The sequence below is a fragment of the Homo sapiens genome, chromosome 4 (assembly GCF_000001405.40).
Source record: "Homo sapiens chromosome 4, GRCh38.p14 Primary Assembly".
NCBI classification, from domain to species: Eukaryota; Metazoa; Chordata; class Mammalia; order Primates; family Hominidae; genus Homo; species Homo sapiens.
The window spans coordinates 5,181,320-5,203,660 of record NC_000004.12 but is presented as its reverse complement, the minus strand read 5'-3'; the positions used below and the strand labels follow the sequence as shown (position 1 = coordinate 5,203,660).

Below are 22,341 nucleotides of genomic sequence, written 5' to 3'. Positions count from 1 at the left end.
TACTGTGCGCCGTATCAGGCAGTATGGTAGGCACTGAGGACATAACAGAGTAAAAGGAACATGTCCTCTTGGAACTCACAATAAGAAACAGGCACTAATCAAAAGCAGGGCCCAACCCCTGTACAGTCACAGCAGTGCTCAGCACTACAAGGGAGACAGGAGCATGTGCTGGAAGAATGTGGGAGGGGTGGGGCCAGGAAATGGGTGGTCAGCTGCTTTTTGAAAAAAGAGACATGTAAAGGAGACACAGCTACAGTGGGTGTGGAGGGGAAAGAGCTGCATTTGAGGGAAGGGGAATAGAATGGGCAAAAATTGTTTATTAAATGAATGAATGAGAAGATGAATGAATGAACGTCAGAAACAAAAATTTCAGTAATTTAATTCCTCTGGAGGGAAATCATCAAAAGAAAATCTAAAAAGGTGCATTTGAGAAAGATGAGATGGGGGATGCTCTTTTGTTAAGCACTTGTGTCCTAAGTAGGCTGCACTATTTATACATTATTTTATTTACTCATTACAGCAACAAGAAATACCTTCATCTTTTTAGAGAAGAGTGAAATTGAAGCCAGAGAGGTTGGTTAACTTGCCCAAGATCACAAAGCTTCCAAGATGAAGAGCTGGGATTTCATTTCAGGTTTCCCATCTGGCAACATCCAAGCCCTTTCCATAATTCCACACTGTGAATTTGCTTCCCAAACCAAGGTATTGTTGCCCACAGGAGGTGTTCTAAGCTGAGGTTAATATTAATAAATAAGCTATTTCTGTTGACACCCACCATGTTTATGTGGCACCATGCCCAGTCATCCACTTCCAAGATGCACATCAATAGTTACATTTTACCCAAAGTTCCCAGAGGGTACTCCTGAAATTACAGACATGAGGGGATGGAACCAATGACACCTGGGGCTGCCATGCAGCTTTAGAGGGTGCCAGCCCCAAGCTTTGGTAGCTTATATGTGGCATTGGGCCTGTGGGTGTGCAGAAGATAAGAGTTGAGATTTGGGAACCTCTCTCTAGATTTCAGAGGATGTATGGAAATGCCTGGGTGTCCAGAAAGAAGTCTGCTGCAGTGGTGGAGCCCTCATGGAGAACCTCTACTAGGGCAATCAATGCAGAGAAGAAACATGGGGTTGAGACCCTCTCACAGAGTCCCCACTGGGGCACTGCCGAGCGGAGCTGTGAGAAAGGGCCACTTTCCTCCAGAATGGTAGATCCACTGACAGCCAGCACTGTGCACCTGGAAAAGCTGCAGGCACTCAACACCAGCCTGTGAAAGCAGCCATGATATTTGGGTGGGGTCACATGGGGACTACACCCTCAAAAGCCACAGGGGCAGAGCGGCCCAAGGCCTTGGGAGCCCAACCTTTGTAACAGCATGCCTTGGATGTGAGACACAGAGTGAAAGGAGACTATGTTGGAGCTTTAAGATTTAATGGTTGCCCTGCTGGGTTTCAGACTTGCATGCCTGTTGCCCCTTTGTTTTGGCCATTTTCTCCTACTTGGAACAGGAACATCTACCTAATGCCTGTACCCTCATTGTATCTTGGAAGTAACTAACTTGCTTTTGATTTTACAGGCTCATAGACAGAAGGGACTTGCCTTGTCTCAGATGAGACTTTGGATTTGGACTTTTGGGTTAATGCTGGAATGAGTTAAGACTTTGGGGGACTGTTGGGAAGGCGTGATTGTGTTTTGAAATGTGAGAAAAACATAAGATTTGGGAGGGGCCAGGGCCAGAATGATATGGTTTGGCTCTGTGACCCCACCCAAATATCATCTCAAATTGTAATCCCCACGTTTCGACAAAGGGACCTGGTGGGAGGAGGTGATCTGATCATGGGACCAGTTTACCCCATTCTATTCTCGAGACAGTGAGTGAGTTCTTAGGAGATCTGATGGTTTAAAAGTGTTTGGCTCTCTCTCCTACTGCCACCATGTAAGATGTGCCTTGCTCCCCCTTCACCTTCTGCCACGATTGTAAGTTTCCTGATGCCTCCCCAGCCATGTGTAACTGTGAGTCAATTAAACTTCTTTCCTTTATAAATGACCCAGTCTCAGGTAGCTCCTTATAGCAGTGTGAGAACAAACTAATACATGTCCTGAACCGGAGCACTTTGCTTCCTTTTTCTGCTCTTCTCCTTTCTTTCAGAGTGGGATACAATTAGCTGGGGAGTGCAACTCATCCCTCAATCACTGATCTGAGTATGGATATCAAAAGAAACATTTCCTGAAGCAAGACGCTGAGCTGGAAGCTTCCACGGTTGTGCCTATACTGTGGCAGTCCTGCGCGAACCTGTCCGGCCCCATGGAAACCTGCAGGGCTGAGGTCTCCCAGGGCAAATGGGGCTGCAGGATGCTCACTACACCCCCAGAAACAGGAGAAGGGACAAGGACACAGGACTGTCTGTGAGCAACACTGACTTTCGGCACAGGAGAGATCCTTTGCCCCTCCTCACTCCAGAATATTGCTAAGAACATAATTGATCTCTCTCCTTCTCATTCACTCACATCTCCCAAAACAAAGGAAGAGAGACCCATTCAACTGATCAGAGCCTGACTTTCCATTGCTGAGCCATGTTTTACTACTGAGTGGGGCAACTGCTTTAAAAATCCATTTGTTGCTGCATTTTCTTGCCAGCTATTTCTTCATTTACAGGGTTCTGAGAGGCCTGGCCTCTGCTTCCTCCGCCCATCCAATAAGTACCACCTGTCTGTTGAGGGGCTCAGTGGCTTCAAGGTTTCAACCCTGGCTACATCATGGAACCATCTGGGGAGCTTTCCAAGTACTGATGCCTGAACCTTAGTCACAGATTAATGGAAACCTGAGGAATGGGGACCCATGACCTGGAGTCTGTAAGGCTTCCCCATTGATGTGATGCTTGGTGAAATCTGTTTGGGTGAGTACATTCAGTGGCCACTTGCCATGACTTTTCCTGTCTCTATAGCTACATCTGGGTCCCTGGATCCCTGCAACTAGATTTAAGCTGGAGGAAGAAGTTTCCATTTTGGCCTTGAGCCTAAGCCTAGTTTTTCAAACCTGCTTTTGGCAGAACAGTGCAATGAGGCATGAGAGTTTTGCCAATATACTAATAAAGCCGTGCTCTCCCTCCCATCTGCCGCACGATCCCTGTGGGCCTGCTCTACTGTCCTGGACCTGGAGGAGAAGGGGAGCATGTGGGAGCAACTGGGAGCCACGACTCCCTGGCAAACAACATTGGGGACTTTCAACACCATTTTAAAAATAGAGTCACTTATTTCAGTATATCTCGGCCAGTTCAGCAAATGACTTTAGGTGGCTTACACTGTAAATATAGAAAACAAAATGAGGATAAAAATAAGAATAGAGATTTTGGACCAAGGAATTATAATGTCAAGTAGAGAGCAAGGCAATTAAAAAAAAAAAAAAAGAGCAGAAGAGTGCAGATCAAAAACAAAGCAGGCAGTGTATATACTGAGATACTTCAACCTGTTAAGAGTAATTGGGCATTGCTTGATTCAATAACACACATTTTGAGTGTAAGAACTAGACGTTATTCCCATTTGACAGATGATGAAACTGAGACTTAACAGATTGTCTGAGGCCTGGCAGCTAGTGACCCCAGAGTCACATTCAGGCTGCCTGTGGTGGGGCCTTTGTTCCTACAGCACCTCATGACCTCGCTAAAGTGGTTTAGCCCTGAGCTTCCATTCAACCAGAGGGAAGAAGACTGACACAGCCAGACACAAACATATTCATTATCAGAAAGTATGAAGCATTCTAGTTCCCCAGGAAAAGCAGTATTTCCCTCAATCACTCAATTCAAAAATGGCATTCCTCAGGTGGGAGTGGGGAAGGCTTCACAGACGAGCAGAGGGCAGGGTTTTGTGGCGTAAGTGGGGGTTCACCAGGTGGGCGGGGGTGGGAGAACATTTAGGAAAATGTACAGCACATTTAAAGACCTGGACAATTATAAGAAACCATCTGGTGTTGGAGGCTACAAAAAGGCCAGAGTTTATGAAGCACAAAGTGAGGTTAACTAACTTAATAACATTTTAAACCTTAGTCAAATTAGAAAACCAAAGAGAAGTGAAAAGAAAATTTAATTTAAAGACATAGAATACAATCTTATCAAGGTGGGCTTCACTAATGTGGAACATGCAGTGATTCAGAGATGCAAAAAAAAAAAAACAGCATTCACAAAGCTGATTTATAATGTAAGCAAGATTGAAGGCAACAGTTCAAAGCCACATAAGGCACCAATAGGTTTTCAAATATTCAGGAATTCATGGTCACATAGCAACAAAGATATGCTAATGACAAGCACTTAACATATTCATTACAATAGGTCCCTGTGGTCCTGCAGTACCACTCCTGGCTACACCTTATTAGTCCTTCTACTTTCTGCACAATGTTGATGCACAAGCCTGCCTTGCTTGGCTTGCTTCTGTACAAACAACCACCGTGCATGTTCAATTAAAGTAATACTCATTTTATGTGTACCTTTAGCTGGAATTGTGGCTGAGAAGGGCAGCCTCGGTCACCAATCTGCTTTATAATGTCCTGTAAAGGATCTCTGTAATGCCTAGGACTCCCCGAGATTAACCTCCACATGCAAAACCTGGGAATGAGTTGTGCTTCATCAGAAATCTCATTACCTTCAGTACAGACCTGAAGGGTGTGGACAAAATGGAAATTGTCAGAGTGGCTTAGGCTGATGTTTCCTTTCACTGCACCTCATACAAAAGTACATAATTAGGAAGGAAAGACAGGATCAGCCACCTCTGTATAAACACTGTGCGCAGCAGGGATTTTAAGTCAGCCTGACACAAAGAACTGCCATTGTGACTGCCACACAACCAGTGCCACCGAAATGTGACATGAGGACACAATGTTTGGATGCAGTAGAGCATGAAGGCCAAGCTCCCAGACCTTTGTGCAAGTCTAGCCGTCTGCCAGGTGCCGCCTTCCTCCTTTATCTGCCTCTTGAAATCCTGCCTAAAGAGGGAGTGTGGCATCACCACCCCATGGATCACCAGGATTCCATGTGGGCCGTGGGCCTAAATATGCTGCAGAGAGAGTGAGAGGGGTCCATTTCTACCCTTCTCTCCTACCAGACAGACCAACTCCCCCAGATGGCGAAGCATAGCAGCTTTCTCCCCTTGTCCTTCAGTACCCAACTCGAACATTCATGCAGAAAGCATTGGTTGAACAAATGACCATTAATCCTCTGAAAAAAATTATTAGTATTATTGGGAATCAAAGGCACACGTATTAAAACAAGTATAAGCTACCACCTTCCCACCACCATGCCCCATCAGATTACAAATTAGTTGGTGAAAAGGCGGTCAAAGAGGCATTTCCACAGGTGGCGTGTCAAGTGGTATAAATTCTGAAATGCAATTTCACAGTATGTTTCAAAAGTTTTTTGATAGAGTGTTGGCTGACATCTAGACATTTATATTCTATGCAGATAATCAGGGATGCAGACAAAGTTTGCTCATCATAATAATAGCTAACTTTGAGAAGTATCCATTGTTAGGCAACATGCCCTCACTTTATATAGATTTTGTGAAGTTCCTACTCTGATGAAATAAGAACAGTTCATCATAGGGGGTAGTTTCTATGGCATGAGATAGCACATTTCAAGCATTTTGAAGAAAAACTAACATGCAGAAAAAAAAATGCAGTGAATTCTAAATATTTTCATTATTATCATTATTATTTGCTGGAAAAAAAAACAACAGAAAACATGTTTTACCATGAAACATAAATGGGGCTTATTCCAGGCAGGATGGCTCACTATTGATAAATTGAATAATGTCATTAACCATAATTGAAGAGCAAGGAACCTAAACATCTGAGCATTTTTATAATTTTTCAAAAAGCTTCTGATAAAATTCAAAATCACTTCCAAAGATAAAAATCTCTTAAGAAAACATGAATAAAAGGATAGCATCCAAAGATTATCAATGTACCAAACAAGGGAACTAGTTAAGAGGTATAACTGTTGCAAAAGCAGACTATGTTCAACTATTCATTCAATTATTCATGCCTTCTACCAATATTTCTTGAATGAATTCTTTGTGATGAAATCTGGCAGCCCAGAAATAGTGCATTCATTTTAGTGGAGATAAATAAGGAACTAAGCAAATAAATGAAAAAGATAATTCCCAATGGTGACATATGCTCTGAAAAAAACTGATACAGAGTGATGAGGAACAGACTGAAGGACTGGGTGGTCGTAAGAGGTGCCCACTGCACATGCTCCCTGACTCTTGCTGCAGCAGCTAAAGGAACTCCAATCAAGTTCAGCTTGAAAACCATCAGTCAACCAAGTCATGCTCTGCAGCAAAGTGATTCCAAGAGGATGACAAGTTAGCACAGAGTCACCCAGACATGAGTGATCTACAGAGCTGGGCACCTCCTACCAGCTCCACATCAAACCCCACCCTGAACACTTCCCACAGAGTGATGATGTGCCAAGGTGAGCTCTTTGCTAGCCACAGTCTCCATCACTCCCTATTGTCCCTCCCTATTGTCCTTCTTCATTCATTTGTCACCTGCCTTCCCCTGCAGACATCTGAGTTTCTGAGTCCCAATTTGGTACAGCTCTTGGGCCCAAAGACCTGAAGGTGAAGACCATTTCTAAAGCCCACCTGCTTGGAAGAAACCAACTGAGGTCCTGGCAGGCTGGATACCTGATGCTTCTAGAGATTTGAAAGGAGAGGACGGGGCATCATATCTGCCATGGCACCCACCCTGACTGCACCACAGATGGTCATGACCAACAGCAATGCTGCAGCTGTCTAGGGCCGTGGAGTGCTGTGCTCACCTAGATCTGGATTTATTCCTGGCTGAATTTTCATCCCCTACATGTGTTCTTCCTTTTGTTTTCTCACTAGTAGTAATATTTATCTATTTTATTTTATTTTATTTTATTTTATTTTATTTTATTTTTTTGAGACAGAGTCTCGCTCTGCCGCCCAGACTGGAGAGCAGTGGCACGATCTCAGCTCACTGCAACCTCCGCCTCCCGGGTTCAAGCAATTCTTCTGCCTCAGCCTCCTGAGTAGCTGGGATTATAGGCGTGCGCCACCATGCCCAGCTAATTTTTGTATTTTTAGAACAGAGGGGGTTTCACCATGTTGGTCAGGTTGGTCTCAAACTCCTGACCTCGTGATCTACGCACCGTGGCCTCCTAAAGTGCTGGGATTATAGGCGTCAGCCACTGCCCCCGGCCCTTATCTTGAATTTTAAAATATTTCTGTTAGTGGTTTTACATACGTTCAGAACAAAACTATGAGGTGGGCCCCCCACCACCAAAAAAAAAAAAAAAAAAAAAAAAACTGAAGAAAGAAGAGAGGAGAGGAAAGAGAGGGAAAAGGAAAGAAGAAGAGAACCTCGCGGGGTGGCATCAGCCCACGCAGGCCCTCAGCATTCAGTGTCATTGAGCATGTAGGCTGTGCACCACCTGTGCTACCCATGAGACGATCCCAGGTGCCTGTGGAACGCAGAGCAAGAACACCACTCCCTCCCTCTCCACCTGCATTTCCATCTTGATCATATGGAGGAGAAAGTCTTAGTTTAAAGCTAGCCTGTCTTTGACACTTTCCTACTCCCTGTCAATCTCCATTTTAAACAATGAAAGGCCCGGTCTCAGGCCATAACTTTGGCAGGTAACAGTGTAAGGTTAGAATTTAATGATGCCATGTAAGTTTCATATATATGTATGTTTAGGGTTGCCATCTATGTAAGACAACTGAAGATTGTTTTTTACTTACACTGGTCATAACAACTTTTAAGAATCCAGTTCAAGTGAGTTGATAAAAAGGTCAAGTCCATAATAGTGCAGGTGGTTCTCAGACAGGAAGGTGGTGCACATATGACCAAGTGAGGTCACTGTGATGTTGTTAAGCCTTCCCAACTTTCTTTTCCAGGACGTCACAGAATTATCATCTAGAACACAGGTAATCACTTTCCAATATTCTTTGAGACGGAGTCTCACTCTGTCGCCAGGCTGGAGTAGAGTGCGTGATCTCGGCTCACTGCAACCTCCGTCTCCCAGGTTCAAGCGATTCTCCTGCCTCAGTCTCCCAAGTAGCTGGAATTACAGGCACCCACCACCATGCTTGGGTAATTTTTATATTTTTAGTACAGAAAGGATTCCACCATGTTAGCCAGGCTGGTCTCATACTACTGACCTCAGGTGATCTGCCTGCCTTGGCCTCCCAAAGTGCTGGGATTACTGACATGAGCCACTGCACCCGGCCCATTCTAATATTCTTTTACTGGTTGAAAAGTGCCCAGGAGCAGCAGGTTGCTGGCCTAAGGAGGAGGAAGGGGAGGAGGCAGCAGGCACAAATCTGATACATTTTATAAATGTCTCATTTCCTTACTTCTATGTGAGCAAACAGCCATAGCCCTATCTTGAAGAATATATTGGCAAATCAAAGGTACATGTCCTGCCAATCACAAAGAAAATATAGTCTGAGGCCGGAGGACTGCTTGAGCCCAGGAGTTGGAGGCTGCAGTTGAGCTACGATTGCGCCAATGCACTCCAGCCTGAAAAAACAGAATGAGACAACCCTGTCTAGAAAAGCAAACAATCCCAAAAAGAAAAAAACCACACACTTTGATATGGTTTGGATCTGTGTCCCCATCCACATCTCATGTTCAATTATAATCCCCAATGTTGGAGGCAGGGCATGGTGGGAGGTGATTGGATCATGAGGGCAGCTTCTCACGAATGGGTTAGCACCACCCCTAGATGCTGTCCTTGTGATAGTGAGTGAATGAGTTTTCATGAAATCTGATTGTTTAAAAGTGTGTAGCACTTCTCCTCCTTCATCTTGCTCCTGCCATGTAAGACATCTTTGGTAACGCTTTGCCTTCTACCATGATTGTAAATTTCCTGAGGCCTCCTCAGAAGCAGAAGCAGCTACAGTTTCTGTGCAGCCTGCAGAACCATGAGCCAATTAAACTTCTTTTCTTTATAAATTACCCAGTCTCAGGTATTTCTTTATAGCAGTGAGAGAACTGCCTAATACACAATTCTACTATGAATTACAGAGAATATAATTAAAAATAAAAACTAAGGAGAATTCCTAAGATCGACGCATTGAAGTTCATCTTTCAATTGCTCTGGCGCATACATTTTCACAGTAAACTCAGCATGTTATGGGGTAATATATCACCCATGCAAAGGGCACTGTCTTGTGTTGGGATCTGAGGATGAGGATGAGCAAAGGGCAAGGTCCCTACCCTTGAGAATCTCCGCCCAATGAGAGGACAGATGGCTCCTCATTTCTTCCACCCTGTTCTTTCTGAACTTCTGAACATACTAAGTCCCAAGCTATGGACCAAGTACAAATATCTAATTCAACATAACATACATATGATCAAATGCTTACATGTGCCAGATACTATTTAGGGGAACACAGCAGAGAACAATATACACAGGACCATTGGTCTCAGAAAGCTCACATTTTTTTTCTGAGGATGGAAAAAATTTCTATAAAGAAGTAAGAAAACACATTAACATCAGAGATGAAAAGGGGCTGTGCTGAAATCAAACAGGCAAGTGAGAGAGGGAGAAGGCCTATGAGTGGACAAGTCCAGATGGTTTGGGACGGCCTCCCTGAAATGAACAAACTGTGGACCCTCTTTAAGAATGCTCAGATAGAACATGTGCAAAGCCAAGCCTGAGAGGTGCAGGAGCATGAGAACGCACGCCCTGCCAAGACAGCGGAGTAGGGAAAGGATATCTGCTTCTGGAAGGAGGTGCCCAGCACAGATGTCTCTGAAGGATGTGGGTTCCTGAATGCAGCAGTCTCTGTAAGCTTTCAGTTCAATGTGTCCACCATCCCGCAAACGCACTTGTGTTCTGAATCAGCAAACACTCTGAAATCCTCGCACATTTGTTGGGAACAATGGCCCTCGTGTCATCACCTTCCAAGATATTTCTTCTAGTTTCACATATGTGGCTGGAAATAAAAACCCAATCTCACTTGTGAAGAAGCCTCTGAGGCTATGGGCTGTTCTGCAAGAGCAGGGGCCAGGACATTGGCACCGACTCTTCCAGGATGCAGCACAGCCGGAGGAGAAGCAACTGGCACACCTGTTATCCCTGCTGACCATCTCTGCAGGCTGCATGACGCAGAGGCTTCCACGGCGCCTGGGAGGCAAGGTCCATGGTGGGAGATGCTCAAGCTTGGAGTCAGACAGAGATAGGTTGAAATACTGACTCCTCTGCTAAAGGCCTAAGGATCCTGGGGGAAGTACTCCACCTTTCTGGGCCTCAGTGTGTTCATCTACTAAGCTGAGGTACCGGTTCACGGCATTCCCTTTCATTCACATTTGCAGGGGAAGAAGGTTCATGATCTGCCGAGCAAGGAGGATGAGGGGCGAGGGAGAGGAGATGAGGCCCAGTCCTGCAGAGCAGCAGTGACACAAGCTGAGAGCGGATTCCAACATGCTCTTAAGGGTCAGGTTCAGAGAGAGCTCAGGAGGCACGAGAGGACAGTGGCCCACCCCGGAGCTATCACCTCGTCACCCTACTCTCTGCCCTCATTCCCCCAGGCATGGGCAGCCAGGCCTTATAAAGTGCAGTGGCCGGGGTTCCTCTTCTTCATGGGCCACAGGGAGGGAAGGCACTGGGAGGCACTGGGGACCATCCCCCCATTGCCGACAGGAGGAAGAAGAGGCGATCCGAAGGCCGGACTGGGCACTTCCACCTATGTGTGTTCCTAAAAAGGTCATGCTCATAGAAGCAGAGAGTGGAACGGAGGGTGCCAGGGGCTGGGTGGAGGGGAGATGCCAGTCAAAGGGCACTATAAACTGTTAGTTACAGGAGGCGGCGGCCCTGGGCTCTAATGTACAGCATGGTGACAACAGCTGGTAAGAACGACTTGTGTACTCGAAATTTGCCGAGAGTAGAACTCGGTGTTCTCACCACACACAAAAAAGGTGACTGTGTGAGGTGGTGGATGGGTTAATCAGCTTGAGTGTGGTAATCATTTCATAGTGTGTACACATATCAAAACATCACGTTGGATGCCATAAATATATACAATGTTTATTGGCCAATCCTACTTTAATAAAGCTGGAAAAAAATTGTTTCATTTAAAAATAATATCCTATTGTGATCACATTTAAACTGATGCTGTGAGTCAGCTTCACTATTTCCGTTAGCGATCTGACTTTCTGTAGCGTGTGTGTGTAAATGTTATGAACTCAGAACAGCCTGGGGCTAGTGTCTTCTAAATAAATTGCACCTTCTGCTATGTTTTTATTAATAAAGCACCACTATTACTTTGGGGTGGAAAAGTCTTGAGCTTGATCTTCCAGGGCCCCGAGGACCAGGCTGCTGTGTTGCACAAGGTGTCCTGGAGTTGTACACAGCGGGGGTCTTGCTGGGAATTCAATAACACGAGGAATGTCTCAAATCCACAACATTCCCTTGTGATAGGTTTTCTAAGAAAATGTCATCATTTTGGACTCAGGACCTTGCAATGTGATCCTTCAACTGATCCTGTCATTCGGTGCTGGCATCTCAAAGTGTTCTCCACAATAGAAGCCCAGGCGGCCGTTTATCAGTGAAGCATGCCTCCCTGGCAATGGATGTTCACTCCGTGCTGTTTTCTATGTCTCTACAGTTGGGCATGAGTCCTGATGCCCTGAGGCACTGTGCAGCCTCTGGTTGGACAGGGAAGGTGAGTGGGGTTGCAGGGAGCATGTGCCATGCCCCTGTTGTATTCCCCCTCCCTCAGCCCGTGCCGGTCATGGACCTGGGAGCACAGTAGTTAATATGGATTTGGAATAGGACATTTTTCTTTAACCATTCATGTGCTGCCTTCAATTCTACAAATTGCAATTTATTTTGTTAAGCCCGTAATTCTTTTTTTGATTTGATCACATAGTCTGAGTGATCTATCTCCACTCATCAAAGTTGGCTGTGCTTGGGCCCAATTCTCAGCCGACGAAGCAGGCTGCGGGTGGTCAACTTTCAGACTCGCTGAGCAGGAGAGACTATCTAGGCTACCAGCTGTCAAAATGTTTGAGCAGCAGAAACCCTTCCTTAAATGAAATCAAATGTAGAACACCAACAAGTTAAAAAAGGAATGCAGGAGGCAAGGCGCGGTGGCTCACACCTGTAATCCCAGCACTTTGGGATGCCGAGGTGGGCAGATCACGAGGTCAGGAGATTGAGACCATCCTGGCTAGCATGGTGAAACCCTGTCTCTACTAAAAAAATACAACAAAAATTAGCCAGGCGTGGTGGTGTGCGCCTGTAATCCCAGCTACTGGGGAGTCTGAGGCAGGAGAATGGTGTGAACCCGGGAGGCAGAGCTTGTAGTGAGCCGAGATGGCGCCACTGCACTCCAGCCTGGGTGACAGAGCGAGACTCTGTCTCAAAAAAAAAAAAGGAATGCAGGATAAGGCAAGGCAGAGGCCTGGTCCACAAACTCAACCCCATTAGCCCCCAAGTGACCCTAAGGAACTTCCTGGACCCCCTATGGCACCATGGAAACCAGGGAAAACCAGAGTTTAAGGTTTTTACTTCACAGCAGAGAAAACAGAGGGCCAGAGAAGGAAAAGGTCAAAATTCGAGTTAGCAGATAAGATGCCACTGGCTGGGCTCAGTTTTCCCTCTGAAATTCCTCACAATTTCAAACAACTTTGATTGCATCAGGAAGAAAAGTGCAGGCAGTGTTACGTTGTAGAGAGTGCAGGCTCTGGAGTCACAAAGGCTGGCTATGAATTGCAGGCCCGCTTCCTGCAAACTATGTGGCCCTGGACAATCACTTAGCTTCTCTGAGCCTCAGTTTCCCCATCTATAATAGTACCTGCCTTGGAGACCTGCTCCGAGTGTCCAATGTCACAAAACCCAAGAGGTGCTACTTCTTCAGACAGCCGCCCCGATGTCTGCAAGGGATGGCAAGGTTCCTCTTACTCCACAGTCTCAGCGTTTCCTGTGAGCATCCTTATTCACACCGGCCGGAATTCTGAATTATAGCTCTGTTTATAATGATTTGAGTTTTGCCGATCTCCGTGTCCAGAATGAGAAAGCGGGCACTCTTCAGGGTGAGCTATGACTCTTTTGCTCTGCATACATCACCAGTACTTAGGACAGTGCCCAGTACATAGTAGGTGCTTAATGTGTTGAATAAATGAACCCATGACACCAAATGCAGTGTGGTGTCCTGGCACAGGGCACTCTGATCGCACTAGTCAAGCACGTGGCCCACTCCTCTACAGGTTTTCTAACCTCCCTCTGCCTCAATTGTCTCCTCTGCAAAATGGAGAAGCAAAGTTCCAGCCTAACAGGGGTCTGGTGAAGAACGAATGAGATGATGCCTGTGAAATTTTGGCAGAGTGTCAGATACCCCATAAGTGCTTAATAAATGTTAGCTATGAAAATCATCACCATTACCCACCAACATATACAAGGTTACTTCCTTTCCTTCCCTTCACAAACTTACCCTGAATCAGAGGTATGGAGGTCAAAATCCCAGTTTTTTAGTCAATGTACAGGCTAGCAAAAGCATTTCTTTTGGGTTTAGAGGACTAACGTGTTCTATTCTGATTCTGGTTTCCAGTTCAGTGTGGGTCGGTGTGAGTGAGTAACCAAGTGAGCTGATCATGTACGCTCTCCACATATGATTTGTGGGGAAGACAAGGACATTTATTCTTTCAATTGGTTCATTCGACAACTACTTACTGAGCAACTACTAGATGCCAGCCATGGTTCTGAATGCTGGGAATAGAGTGGTAAAAATGCAGAGGACATGCAAATTGAAACAACGGAATACCACTACACGCCTACTGGAGTGAACAAAATCCAAACACTGACAACTCCAAGTGCTGACGAGGATGTGGAGGGAGCAGCAGGAACTCTCATTCCTCCCTGGTGGGAATCCAAAATGGCACAGCCATTTTGGAAAACAGATTGGCAATGTCTTACCAAACTAAGCCTACTCTTACTATACAATCCAGCAATCATTTTCCTTAGTATTTATGCAAAGGAGTTGAAAATGTACGTCTGCAGAAAAACTTGCACACAGATGTTTAAAGCAGGTTTATTCACACTTGCCAAAACCTGGAAGCAACTAAGATGTCTTTCGGTAGGCTACCAGGTAAATAAACTGTAGCATGTACAGATAATGGAATATTACTTGTCACTAAAAAGAAATGAGCTATCAAGCCATGAAAGACATACAGAAAACTAAAACGCATATTGCTAAGTGAAAGAAGCCAATCTGAAAAGTCTACACACTGTATGATTCCAATTATGTGACATTCTGGACAAGGCACAACTCTGAAAACACTGAAAAGATCAGTTGTTGCCAGGGTGGAGGGGAACGAGGGATGAATCAGTGGATCACAGAGGGTTTTAGAGCAGTGACATTGCTCCGTATGTCACTACAGTGGTGAATACACATCATTATACATTTGTCCACACCTACAGAATGTATAACACCAAGAGCAGACCCTAATGTATACCATGGATCCTGGGTGATAGTGATGTGCCACCGTAGGTTCATCAAAGGTAAAAATTATACCACTGTGGTGGGGGAAGTGCTGCATGGGTGGGGGCAGCAGGTGCATGGGAAATCTCCTCTTAATTTTGCTGTGAACTTTTACATCTGTTTTTCTTTTTTTTTTTTAAATTATACCTTAAGTTCTAGGGTACACGTGCACAACGTGCAGGTTTGTTACATAGGTATACATGTGCCATGTTGGTTTGCTGCACTCATTGGCTAATCATTTACATTAGGTATTTCTCCTAACGCTATTCCTCCCCCAGCCCCCCACCCCCTGACAGGCCCCAGTGTGTGATGTTCCCTGCCCTGTGTCCATGTTACACCAGTTTTTCTTAAAGTCTTCTTAGAAAAAAAAAAAAAAGATGGCAGTTATCATCCTCATGGAGAGACATCTTTCTTCTAGTTGTGTGTAGGGGGAGAAAGGGGCATAGAAAATAAACAAGATAATTAAAATGTATATTGTGTTCCCAGGTGAAAGTGTAGCCACACAGGAAGTGGGTTAGGGACAGCCAAGGTAGGGAGCAGCTTACAATTTTAAGAGGTCCGAGAAAGACCTGAAATGTAAGCTGACAGTAGACAGAGATCTGAAGGAAGCGAAGGGGTATGCCTTGCAGATTTCCAGAGAAAATCACCCAGGCAGAGAGAACAGTGAGTGCAAAGACCTAGCAGGGGTGGGAGGTGGGTCGGAGAAGGGGCATGTGCGCCTGACGTCAGGGAAACCATGGGGAGCTGCCATGTGACTTTCAAACACTTGAGGATCAAGGGCACCACAGTTTCCAATTTAATTAAGCTCACTACAGCAGGTGAATACTTCCCATTAAAATGTATTACATGCGAATGCTATTTCTGCGGCTCTTTGGGATGTGAGCTTCACATAAAATTGCTCGGTCATCGAGCATCGTGGCCTCCATCTGCACAGCCGCCACCTCCCACTAGCAATTTCATGCACGTGATGAACTCTCCAGCAAATTTATAGGATATTATTCACACTTTGGTTTTTCTCAGAAGGAAGAATAATAATGTATGCTGCTCCAGCAAATTATCTTTTCCACAGGGCTTTCATGCACGGGGTCTCCTTTAATTTGAAGCTCACAAAGCATGAAAGGGAGGGAGCTGTAGGCGCGCCCTACACGAGGAAACTGAGGCTTTCAAGGGGTACACACCTAGGAAGAGGAAAGGCCATTTTCCACGTCTACTACATTGTTGAGTATAATAACCACGCTTCCTTCCTCTCCCTCAGAGTAGCATCCATCACTTACTCATCTTGTTATTTTTGAGGCTTAGCTTTGGGCCTAACTCACAGAAGTTGGCTTTAGAAAGAGCATAGGCTTTGGTGTTAGATCTGAGTCTGGCAGAGTTGTGCGGGAGCCGGCTTATACTAGCTCATCATAATCAAATGCTAAATCTTCAGAAATGTTGCAGGCTGGCTGACACCATATTGTTAGTTTGAAATCAACCATTATGAGAAACTATTTACACCATGGAAATTGGCAAACAGGGCTTGTCCCCCCCCTCCCCCGCCCGGCCCCTGCCACCCTGCCCCGACACACCCCATCCTGGAGAGCTGGTTGTTAAGCATTTACCAGCACACCATTGCTTTTAATCCCAGTACTGACTCTTGTTGGCTATATATTTTGCACAAATAACTTAATCCACTAGTCTTCAGCTTTTCCAGCTGTAAACGAGACAGTAACATCCACCTTGCACGATGGTTCTGAGGATTAATCCAGATAAAATATGCAAAGAGCCATGTGCTGTAGGTGATGGACAAATGGTACTGGTACTACTATTACTGAATAGGTGTGGGATAAATTTACTAATTCCCCATGGACCAAGAGAGTCCTGGTTCAGAAGACCCTTGGGAAAGCATGAAGAGCAGTCAGGAAAACGGGCACAAGAAGGTGCTGTGTTGTGGTGCGGGAGAAGCGGAGTACCCCACACACAGCCCACAGGTCTGGAAGAATCCTGGCTCTTCCACGTGACCCTGGGTAAACCCCATGGCTTCTCTGACTACTGGACGGATTCCCTCACTCACCTGCAGGAACTGCCTGACACACCACAGCCAATCCCCCAAGCCCAGCTGTGTTTTCCCCAATTCCTGTTTTTGTACTGCGTGTCCTCTGGCTCCTCATGCAGCCCTCTGAACAGCTCAGCACAGGCCCCCTGAGTGTCGGAGTGCGGGCAGGTGCATCCTGTGACCCACACTCACAGCTGCCAATCCTGCCCCCTGAAGAATAACAAACTCATGTCACTTACAAAGAAAACATTACACACCTGGTATCTTTAAAGCATAAGATGAAGTTTCCATGGTGCTACAAATGCTGGAACAGTCAAGAATGAGAGAGGGACTCTAGATAGGAGAGCCTCGCCTCTTAACCCTCTATTTATGGGTGTTACCATGGGGATGGGTATGTCGAGGAGGCGCTGGAGACTGATGAAGACATCGCTAATTGGAACTGGGAAAACCCCAGGGACATTCTCCATCTCTGTGTGTTGGGGATGGACCAGGATATCACTTAACCCTCCAGGGCATGGTGGGTGTTTGAAATCTCTATAGTTTTTAAGTTAACCCAGGACACCAAAGCACGATAACCATCCCAGATGGAGGGAAGAGAGCAAGCGAGATAAGCGACTGCTGGTTAGCATCTGTCTTCTCTCACCTGTAAGACAGGGAGGAACTGTCTTCCTCACAGTTCTGCCACCAGGGTCTAGCACAGCATTTGGCATGTCAGGGGCCCTTAACAGCACTACATAAATTAATCTACTGAACGTCAGATGCTAGGGAGACAGAGATGAATAAGGTATGGTCCCCTTCCTCAAGCGGCCCACTGCTCACGGAGGAAACACACACCCCAGCAGATAACCGTGACAGAGCTGCCTTTATGCCATAACAGGATCTGCGAGAAAGCACCACTGTCTGGGGCTGGTGTCCCGAGGAGGGCTGATGGAGGAGGTGAGGCCTGGACTATGAACTCCAAGAGGACAGGAGCCATACTGACTGTCTTCACCACTGCACCCTTAGAAATTGGAACAGTGCCTGGTACCCAATAAGAGCCCAGTGAATAGCGACTTAATGAATGAATTCCTGTGGAGGATGAGCAGGAGTTCTCGCAGTGACCGAAGAACAGACGGTGTTCCAGGCAGAGGGCACAGCCTGAGCAGAGGCCTGGAGAGATGAGAACAGTAGGATGTATGACAGATCACCCACAAACCAGTTAGTATGGACGAGAACAAAAATGGCCCAAGATGGTAGTAGGGGTGGGTGTCAGGGGATGAGACTGTACATAGTGTTACAGGCTAGATCACAGAAAGACGTTCATTCTGAGGGCTTCGGGAGCCATTGTGGTATTTTATGCAGAGGCGTGGTAGGCACAGACTTACGCTTTGATAAGACCTGTCCTGTGAAGGGCACGTGGGTGATGGGTAACTGGCTGGGCATTGAAACAGTAGTTAGGAGCCTATAGCAACAGTTCAGGCTAGGGACAATTGCTTCTGTGGAAATGACACTGCTCAGCATCTAGCAATTGTTTATAAGGCTGAGAAGCTTTGTCAAAGGTTTCCCTGATGCCTTCCAGTCTCTGTCCTCCCCCACGTCCCTTTCCCTGCCCTCCACTACTTCAGCCAGATCGGCTCTGCCTTCAAATACTTAATATAGTTTTATTTTAATCAAAGCTCTCAACACTTAAAATGTAGCCTCTGATTTAAGTGATTGTTTCTTGGCTTAGACTGGCAGGTAGATATCCGTGTACTGACTCAGTCCATTGCAACTCAAAAATGATTCTAGAAACCTACATTGCCCTGAGAGCCATTTAAACTAACTTCTGACATCTGTTCTCATCCTGAGAATGTTCATTCATTCTCTCGGTTGTTTAGGCAATAGACAGGGACAGATGCCTCCCTCCTCCGGTTTTAAACAAAACAGATTAACAGTGAGTCTAGTAAATACAGCCAATTAGGTAAGTAGAAATGGATTTTGAAAATGCAGTCCGAACACATGAATGAACTACTGACCCATTAACATTCAATCAGGATAACAGTCTAATGCTAAAAACGCAAGACACATTTTCCAAAAGGCCGTGTCCTCACGTCTGACGCTGGAGGAGAAGGAGAGAACACGTAGTCACACGGAAACAGGGAGCAACCTCACCTCAGGTGCTCAACCAGCCAGAGGCCAGCCTCAAAGGACAAGTGCTAACACAGGCACGCCTCATTTTCCTGTGCTTCTCTTGACAGCACTTAGCAGATCCTGCATATTTCACAAAGTGGAGGTGCACGGCAACCCTGCATCAAGCACATCCATCGGTGCCATGTTTTCCAACAGCATGTGCTCACTTTGTGTCTCTGTCACATTTTGATAATTCTTGGAATATTTCAACTTTTTTCATTATTATGGTATTTGTTATGGCAGTGATCTTTGTTTTCTTTTTCTTCTTCTTCTTCTTTTTTTTTTTTTGAGACAGTCTCGCTCTGTCACCAGGCTGGAATGCAGTGGTGCGATCTCAGCTCACTGCAACCTCTGCCTCCCGGGTTCAAGCAATTCTCCTGCCTCAGCCTCCCAAGTAGCTGGGATTACAGGCATGCACCACCACGCCCAGCTAACTTTTGTATTTTTGGTAGAGACAGGGTTTCACCATGTTGGCCAGACTGGTTTGGAACTCCTGACCTCAAGGGATCCACCTGCCTCAGCCTCCCAAAGTGATCAATAATCTTTGATATTACTACTACAATTGTTTTGGGGCATCATGAGCTGCACCCATATAAGAAGGTAAATGTAATCAATAAATGTTGTGCATGTTCTGAATGCTCCATCGCTGGTTGTTCCCCTACCTCACTCCCTCCCCTTGGGTCTCCCTATTCCCTGAGACACAACAATACTGAAATTAGGCCAAGCAATAACACTACAATGGCCTCTGAGTGCTCAAGTGAAAGGAAGATTCCTATGTCTCTCAATTTAAATCAAAAGCCAGAAATAATTAAGCTTAGTGAGGAAGGCATGTGAAAAGCCAAAATAGGTTAAAAGCTGGGGTTCTTTTGCCGAGCAGTTAGCCAAGTTCTGAATGCAGAGAAAAAGTTACTGAAGGAACTTAAAAGTGCTACTCCAGTGAACATAACAATGATAAAGAAGAGAAACTGCCTAACTGCTGATACGGAGAAAGTTTGAGTGGTCTGGATAGAAAATCAAACTCGCCACAACATCCCCTTAAGCCAAAGCCTAATCCAGAGCAAGTTCCCAACTCTCTTCAATTTTATGAAGGCTGAAAGAGGTGAGGAAGCTGCAGAAGAAAAGCTGAAAGGTAGCAGAGGTTGGTTCAGGAGGTTTAAAGGGGAAAAAAGCTGTTTCCAGGACATAAAAATGCAAAGTGAAGCAGAAAGTGTGATGGAGAAGCTGTAGCAAGTTACTTAGAATATCTTGCTACGGTCATTGACAAAGGTGGCTACACCAAACAACAGATTTTTCAATTAAACAAAACAGCCTTACACTTAAATAAGGAGGCGAACTTAATAAATGTTGTGTGTGTTCTGAATGCTCCACTCACTGGCCATCCCCCATCTCACTTCGTACAAGTATTGGAGGTAGATGCCATCTAGGACTTTAACATCTAGAAAGAATTCAATGGCCGGTTTTATTTTATTTTTTAATTTAATTTTTTTTTTTTTTTGAGATGGAGTTTTGCTCTTTTTGCCCAGGCTGGAGTGCAGTGGTGCAATCTCAGCTCACTGCAACCCCTGCTTCCTCAGTTCAAGCGATTCTCCTGCCTCAGCCTCCCAAGTAGGTGGGATTACAGGCATGCACGACCACGCCCAGCTAATTTTGTATTTTTAGTAGAGATGGGGTTTCTCCATGCTGGTCAGGCTGGTCTTGAACTCCTGACCTCAGGTGATCTGCCTGCCTCGGGTTCCCAATGTGCTGGGATTACAGGCGTGAGCCACCATGCCCGGCCAATGCCTGGTTTTAAAGCTTCAAAAAACAGGCCGACTCTTGCTAGGGGCTAATGCAGTCGGTGACTTTAAGTTGAAGCCAATGCTCACTTACCATTCAAAAAATCCCAGGGTCCTTAAGAATTTTGCTAAATCTATTCTGCTTGTATTCTATAAATGGAACAACAAAGCCTGGAAGACAGCACATCTGATTACAGAATGGTTTTCTAAATATTTTAAGCTCACTATTGAGAAAACAATACTACTGCTCAGAAAGCAAGATTCCTTTCAAAATATTACTGCTTGTTGACAATACACCTGGTCACTCAAGAGCTCTAATGGAGATGTACAAGACATGAATGTTGTTTTCATGCCTGCTAACATAACATCTATCCTGCAGCCCATGGATCAAGGAGTAATCTTGACCTTCACATCTTATTATTTAAGAAGTACATTTTGGGGCTGGGCGCAGTGGCTCACATCTGTAATCCCAGCACTTTGAGAGGCCGAGGCAGGCAGATTACCTGAGGTCAGGAGTTCGAGACCAGCCTGGCCAACATGGTGAAACCCCATCTCTACTAAAAATACAAATAGCCAGGCATGGTGGCGGCCACCTGTAGTCCCAGCTACTCAGGAGGCTGAGGCAGGAAAATCTCTTGAACCCGGGAGGCAGAGGTTGCAGTGAGCTGAGATCGCATCACTGCACTCCACCCTGGGCAACAGTGCGAGACTCTGTCTCAAAAAACAAAAAAAAAGGAAAAAAAAAGGACATTTTGTAAGGCTACAGCTGCCAGTGATCATGATTCTGCTGATGGATCTGGGCAAAGTAAATTGAAAATCTTCTGGAAAGAATTTGCCATTCTAGATGCCATTAAGAACATCTGTGATTCATGGGCGGTCAAAATATCACCATTAACAGGAGTTTAGAAGAAATTTACTCAACCTTCAGGGGTGACTTTGACAGGTTCAAGACTTCAGTGGAGGGAGTTACTGCAGATGTGGTGTAAGTAGCAAGAGAACTAGAATTAGAAGTAGAGCTGGAAGATATCACTGAATTGTTGCAATCTCATGACCACACTTGAACAGGTGAGGAGTTGATTCTTATGAATGAACAAAGAAAGTAGTTTCTGAAGATGGAAGCTGCTCCATATGAAGATGCCATGAATATTTCTGAATCAATAACAAAGGATTTAGAATATCACATAAACTCAGTTGAGAAATCAGCAGCAGAGTTTTAAAGGATTGACTGTATTTCTGAAAGAAGTTCTACCACAGGTAAAATGCCATCAAACAGCATCTCATGCTACAAAGAAATCTTTCGTCAAAGGAAGAGTTAATCATTGTGGCACACTTTCTTGTTGTCTTATTTTAGGAAGTTGCCACAGCAATCACTGCTCTGATCAGTCAACATCAAGGCAAGACACTCCACCAGCAAAAAGATTAAAACTTGTTGAAGACTCAGATAATCATTAGCATTTTTAGCAATAAAGTATTTTTAAATTATGGTACGTACCTTGTTTTTTAGACATAATTCTATTGCACACTTAATCGACTACAGTATGGCGTAAACAACTTTTATATACACTGCAAACCAAAAAATTGTGTTTCTTGCTTTATTGTGATATTTGCTTTGTTGTGTTCTGATACTGAACCTGCAATATTTCCGACGTATGCCTGTAATGGCAGTAATAGTGGAGACCTTTATTAGTCACCTTAGGTTACCATACATAAAACCATAGATTGGGGGCCTCCAGCAATAGAAATTTATTTCTCACAGTTCTAAAAGCTGGATATCTGAACTCAGGGTGCCAGCAGAGGCAACTTTCTTGCTGCATCCTTAATGAGATCTCTGTGTGTGTGTGTGTGTGTGTGTGTGTGTGTGTGTGTGTCTCACTCTCC

General features: G+C 45.1%; 1 protein-coding gene across 7 annotated transcripts in view, besides 1 other annotated feature; it reads right to left on the bottom strand.

Annotated features, from left to right (window-relative positions):
- Positions 1-22,341, bottom strand: part of STK32B (serine/threonine kinase 32B) — a 481,604-nt gene that overhangs the window by 297,329 nt on the left and 161,934 nt on the right. The window lies entirely within an intron of this gene.
- Positions 4,324-4,824: an enhancer, noted in NCBI's record as "OCT4-NANOG-H3K4me1 hESC enhancer chr4:5200564-5201064 (GRCh37/hg19 assembly coordinates)". NCBI's record gives its function as "activates a minimal SCP1, AML or CMV promoter by ChIP-STARR-seq in naive H9 embryonic stem cells {active_cell/tissue: H9 hESC(naive)}" and the evidence as "EXISTENCE:reporter gene assay evidence [ECO:0000049][PMID:30033119]".